This window comes from Homo sapiens, chromosome 5 (assembly GCF_000001405.40).
Source record: "Homo sapiens chromosome 5, GRCh38.p14 Primary Assembly".
NCBI classification, from domain to species: Eukaryota; Metazoa; Chordata; class Mammalia; order Primates; family Hominidae; genus Homo; species Homo sapiens.
In genome coordinates this window covers 8,468,511-8,475,261 of record NC_000005.10, presented here as the reverse complement: position 1 = coordinate 8,475,261, position 6,751 = coordinate 8,468,511, and the positions used below count along the sequence as shown (strand labels likewise).

The following is a 6,751-nucleotide window of genomic DNA, read 5'->3' as shown; positions in this document are numbered from 1 at the left end:
ACATTCACTACCTAGGGAGAAGCCTTTCTATATCTAACAGAGAAAGCTTCTGAGGTAATAAAAGTATGAATTAATGAAATTATTTCTCACTTTAGACTCCCTGAGTACCTCTAGAGTGATAATGGCCCCTTGTGCAAGGTGGCTGTCACCCAAGGGGTCTCAAATGCACTATGCACACAATATCATCTTTATTGTGATTGGAGACCACAATCCTCAGGAGACGAAGACAAATGATATTATCAAAAGACACCTCAGAAAACTGTCTCAAGAGACTCATCTCCCCTGGATCACTCTTCTTCCCACAACCCTACTACCTGTTTGAAACACCCCTTTGAAACTGGGTTTAAGTCTCTTTGAAATGATGTATGGATGGCCTTTTCCCGCTAACAATTTCTTGCTAGACCAAGAAACCTCTGATTTGATTAAACATGTAACTGTGTTGGCCCATTTCCAACAGGAACTGAAACAATTGTTGGAGGCCTAACCCTGTGAACTAGGGCCATGTCTATTCAACCCAGGGGACTTAGGACTGGTAAAGGCACTTCTTTCCTTTCTCTCTCTGTAGGCCCAGAGTGGGAGGGACCTTACACTGTTCTTCTTTCTACTCCTATGACAGTAAAGGTCACTGAAATATATTCTTGGATTCATTATACTTAAGTAAAGGGGGAAACTGACAGAATTACCTCTGTTGACCCAGAAGAGCACCCAAAATACCAGTGTGTATGAAGAAATTGGAGACCTCAGGCAAACAATCACAAAGATAAGTGTCAATAATTAACTTTCCATGAATATCCTCTTTATGGCCTCCCCTATGCTTGCTGTTATCACCTTTGTTCTGTTCCTCACCATCAGGCATGTTTACCAAGGACCCCTTAATCCTGAACTCCCATGGGATTATCTACTTCCGTAAACAGTTATCTCTCAAGTTTAATTGCCCCCTATAAAGATTTAATTATTTTTCACCAGAGTGAAACAGCTCTGGCCACAACATTGTTTTCAGAATGATTAGTCTCTTTTACTTCTTATTTCTGTTATCTTTGGCACTAGAAATTTCCTTTTAGCTCCTCTTTTTATAATGCTAATACTTGGCCCATTCATACTTAACCTTCTTGTAAAATTTGCTTCTTCTCGCCTAGAGACCATCAAACTCCAAATGGTTATGCAAATGCGCCTTGGGTAATGGCTTTCACTGGAGACCCTTAGATAAACCTCTGAGAGAAATCTGACTGCATTTTCCCAAAACAATGCCCCCTGTCGGCATGAAGCAGTAAGAGCAGTAACTGTCCTTATCCTAACGTCAGTTAGATGTACCTTTTCAGAGCGGAGATTGATAGCAGCAGGAGGGAGAAAAATTCCTAGGCAGACAGGGACAGGTCCCCAGTAAAACTCAACCTTCAAACCAAGGACAATTTAAAGCCTGAAAACAGGGTTGGCAGTCCAGGTAGAGTCCATGATCAGAGTGAGAACTTCTTCGATGCCTTTTAGCCAATCAAATGGGGCTTTTTCCAGGCCTGTCCATGGACCAATCACCTCACATTCCCCCATTCTGAGCCCATAATTACCCCAGACTCAGCCACATGTGGGGCTATTCACTTTTGGGCCCCCTCTCACACAGAGGGCCACCCACTTCAGGTACCCTCTCATGACAAGAGATGTTTTGTCACTCAACAAAACCCTTTTCTACGTTGCTCACTCTGTAGTGTCCATGTAGCCTCATTTTTCTTGGATGCAGGACAAGAACCCAAAACCCACCAACTGGGAGGAACAAATGAGAGCTGTAACACGAAGAATCTGTAACACCCCCGCCCCCCTCCCCCAGACCCCATTTGCTTATCTGTGGGTGGTGGGAAGGAGAGAGAACAGTAAAAGTGCTTGGGGGCTCAGACCTTGGGACTCTGTGGGCAAGAGCCATAACACCGCTTGGGGCTCCGCAGTTGCTGTCATCTCCTAGTTTACAGGCTCCACCACATTCCCTCATCCAGATGCCAGTACCCAAGGTGGAAGCAGACTGCAGTATGCCCAGCCCACCCACAGGCTGAGCACAAAATCCAGGCTGGTAGCATGAGCTGAGTACAGGCTGCCAGGCAGAGTAGGTGAAGTGAGCCCAGCAGCAAGCATGGAGCCAAGAGAGGCCCAGGCAGGGGTGCCATTGCCACCGAGATTTCCATGTGGTGAAGTGGCACAGAAGGAATCCTGTGTCAACCATAGTGAGAAATGTACCATATGTATTCTGATAGTTGACTAATTTAACAGTCAAAAAATTAGAACTTAATAGTAAAAAATGTATCACAAATCAAAATTGCTGGAACATACTAAAATAAACACTAAGAAAGAAATACATAGTTTTAAATATTTATGTTAGAAAAGGCTGATAACTAAGGAGTTACATATACATATTAAGTTAGATTAGAAATCAAATAAATGAGACCAAAGAGAATGAAAGATAATTAAGATAAAATTAAATAACAATGAAATAGAAAACAAAGATACAGTAGAGAAAATCAATGTATCTAAAAGAAGTTTATTTTAAAATACTAAAGAAATGGACAAAATAATATAGGCTAATAAGAAAAAATCTAAATAAAAACATTTAACATGAAATATTAAATGTAAAAAGGAACAACAGTTTTTGTTCTTAAATTATAAAATATAACACAAGTAGTATGAACACACTTATGACAATAATTTAGAAAACAGAAATTAAATGAAAAATTTTCTGGGAAAATATCACTGTGTTGTTGATCACCAAGACCACCCCCAGGTTTGATGATTTGCTAAGTATACTCACAGGACTGAGCATATAGCCATACTTCTGCCTACAGTTTATTATAGTGAGAGGATACAAAGCAAATTCAGCAGAGAGAAAAGGCACATGAAGTGAAGTCCAGAGGAAACCAGGAGCAAGTTTCCTAGAGTTCTCTCCCTGTGGAGTCACATAGGATGACACATTTGATTCCTCTAGGAATAAGTTGTGATAGCACGTGTGAAGCATTGTATACCAGACAAGTGCTGTCTACCTGATTTCCATAAAGAAAATTCTACACTGAGTTTTACACTGAGTTCTACCAAAATTTCAAAGTATAAATCATTAAAATATCTTACAAACGCTTCCAAAAATTTAAATAAGTGGTTTTACTCCCCAAATCACCTCATGAGGCATAAATATGCTTAATGTTAGGCAAGAAAATTATAGAAAAAATATACAGGTAAATCTTATTCTCAAAATTATGAACATTAAAAATACAGTGTGTTTTTTAAAAGCTTACAATAACAAAACTGAGAAATTTCCCACTTAAATCTCATCTTGAATTGTAGTTCTCCTAATCCTCACATGTCATGGGAGGGACGTGGTGGGAGGTAATTGAATCATGGGGCGGTTATTCCCATGCTGTTCTCCTAGTAGTGAGTGAGTTCTCATGAGATCTGATGGTTTTACAAGGGGCATTTCCTCCCTTGCTCAGCATTCTCGTTCCTGTTGCCATGTGAAGAAGGACATGTTTACTTCCCCTTCCACGGTAATTGTAAGTTCTTGAGACTGCACCAGCCCTGTGGAACTATGAGTCAGCTAAATCACTTTCCTTTGTAAATTACCCAGTCTCTGGAAGTTTTTTTTATAGGAGTGTGAGGACAAATTAATACAGTAAATTGACACCTCAGAGAGTGGGGTGCTGCTATACAGATACCCAAAAATGTGGAAGTGACTTTGGAACTGGGTAACAGAGTTTGAAACAGTTTGGAGGACTCTGAAGAAGACAGGAAAATGTGGGAAAGTTTGGAACTTTCTAGAGTCTTGGAGTGCTCAGAAGACAGAAAGATGTGGGAAAGTTTGGAACTTCCTAGACACTTGTTGAATGGCTTTGAACAAAATGCTGATAGGAATATGAATAATAAAGTCCAGGCTGAGGTGGTCTCAGATGGAGATGAGGAACTTTTTGGGATCTAGCATATAGGTGATTCTTGCTATGCTTTAGCAAAGAGACTGGCAGTATTTTGCTCCTGACCCAGAGATCTGTGGAATTTTGAACTTGAGAGAGATGATTCAGGGTATCTGGCAGAAGAAATTACTAAGTGGCAAAGCATTCAAAAGGTAGCAGAACAAAAAAGTTTGGAAAATTCCAGCCTGACAATGCAATAGAAAAGAAACACTCATTTTCTGAGAAGAAATTCAAGCCCACTGCAGAAATTTGTATAAGTAATGAGGAGCCGAATGTTAATCATCAAAACAATGGGTAAAATGTCTCCAGGGCATGTCAGAGAGAGACCTTCATGGCAGCCACTCCCATCACAGGCCTGGTAGCCTAGGAAGAAAAATTGGTTTCATTGGCTGGGCCCAGGGCCCTTTCCAGGCCTAGCCCTGAGACATGGTGCCCTGCTTCAGCTCCAGCCATGGTTAAAAGCAGCCAATGTACAACTCAGGCCATTGCTTCAGAGAGTGCAAGCCCCAAGCCTTGGCAGCTTTCAGGTGGTTTGGGGCCTGCAGGTGCACAGAAGTCGAGGACTGAGGTTTGGGGACCTCCGCCTAGATTTTAGATGATATATGAAAATGCTTGGATATCCAGGCAGAAGTTTGTTGCAGTGGTGGAGCCCTCATGTAGAACCTCTGCTAGGGCAGTGCAAAAGAGAAATGTGTGGTTGGAGCCACAGAGTCCCCACTGGGGCACTGCTTAGTAGAGCTGTGAGAAGACAGCCACCATCCTCCAGACCCCCTGATGGTAGATCCACTGACAGCTTGCACCGTGCACCTGAAAAAGCCGCAGACACTCAAGGCCAACCAGTGAAAGCACATGGGAGAGGGGCTGTACCATACAAAGATAGAGAGTCAGGATTGCCCAAGGATATGTGAGCCCCTTTGTATCAACACAACGTGGATGTGAGATATGGAGTCACAGGAGATCATTTTGGAACATTAAGGTTTAATGACTGCCCTATTGGATTTCTGACTTGCATGTGGCCTGTAGCTTCTTTATTTTGGCCAATTTCTCTCATTTGAAATGGGTGTATTTACCCAATGCCTGTACCCCCACTGTATCTAGGACGTAACTAACTTGCTTTCGACTTTACAGGCTCATAGGCAGAAGGGACTTGCCTTGTCTCAGATGAGACTTTGGACTTGGACTCTTGGGTTACTGCTGGAAGGATTTAAGACCTTGGTGGGACTGTTGGAAATGCATGATTCTGTTTTGAAATGTGAGGCCATGAGATTGGGGAGGGGTCAGGGGTCGAATGGTATGGTTCAGCTATGTCTCCACCCACATTTAATCTTGAATTGTAGTTCCCATAATCCCCACATGTTGTGGAAGGGACTTGGTGGGAGGTAATTAAATCCTGGGGGTGGCTACCCCCATGCTGTTCTTGTGATAGTGAGTTCTCATGAGATCTGATGGTCTTATAAGAGATTTTTCCCCCATTTGCTTGGCACTTCTCCTTCCTGCCACCATGTGAAGAAGGATCTGTTTGCTTCCCTTCCACCATGAGTGTAGTTTCCTGAGGCCTCCCTAGCCCTGCGAAACTGTGAGTCAATTAAACCTCTTTCCTTTATATATTATCCAGTCCCTGGCAGTTCTTTATAGCAGTGTGAAAATGATATAATACAATGAGTATAACATTATAAATATCCTTTAAATCAGAAATAAGATTTACATAATTACTGTTAGCACTTACAGTCAACATTATACTAGAGGTACTTCACAATGTTGTAAAATTTAAAAAATAAAGACAATGTATACATGAAGATTGGAAATCAAGAAATACAACTCATATTTTCAGACAATATGGTTTTCTATAGATCAAATCTAAGTAATCTACAGGTAAAGTATTAGAATTCATGAGCAAGTGTCTCAAATTTAATAAATATACAATAGCAATACATAAAAGCCAATCACATTTATATACATTAGTAAATATAATTTAGAACATGCAACTTTCCAAAAGATATAATTTTAAAACAGTAAGAGATGTTATATCTAGGAATAAATTAACAAATATGTATACAGCCTATGTAAAAACATGTAAATTTGTACTGAAAGATATTTAGAAAAATCTGTATAAATGGGGAGCTATAACTTGCTTAAGGACGGAAAGCTGAAAAATGATAAAGCTTTCATTTCTAAAAAAAAAAAAAAAAAAAGGAAAAAAGATTCATTGGTTCAATAAAACACCAATCAAAATCCCAAAAGTGTTTTTTGAAAAACTTGATGAGCTACTTTTTTGTTGTACATTGAAGGATGAAGAACCAATAATGGGTAAGATATTTTTGAAAAGATAAACATGATTTTCCTATCATAATGTAGAAAAAAATGCTTAAACTTACAACCAAGTAACTTAGTAACTAAGAATGCTAATTAAACCCACAATTAGATACCTTACCACCATTAGTTTGGAAAACAAAACATCTGAAAATGTCAAGATCTTAGTGACGATAGGTATCAATATGCTGGTTGAAGTAAGTTAGTAGAGGTGCTTTTAAAAATCATAACGTTATCTTGTAATATAAACAAAACATCAGTATATCTTATGGCCCAGCAATTCTGTCCTTAGAGGCTCACTACAGGAATGTGTATGAATACTGAAGACATGTATACAAATGTGTATATGAAGAAGTGTTGTTCATAAAGGAGTGCATTGGAAACAAGCTGAATATGCATCTTCAAAAAATGGACACTTAAATTTGGACATACTTACACCTTGGAAAATATTCATCAGTAAAAACAAATTAGGTAACTATTACATGCACAAGCATGGAGGATTCTTG

At 39.8% G+C, this 6,751-nt stretch overlaps 1 annotated feature.

Moving 5' to 3' along the window:
• Positions 834-1,455: an enhancer, noted in NCBI's record as "NANOG hESC enhancer chr5:8473920-8474541 (GRCh37/hg19 assembly coordinates)". NCBI's record gives its function as "activates a minimal SCP1, AML or CMV promoter by ChIP-STARR-seq in naive and primed H9 embryonic stem cells {active_cell/tissue: H9 hESC(naive and primed)}" and the evidence as "EXISTENCE:reporter gene assay evidence [ECO:0000049][PMID:30033119]".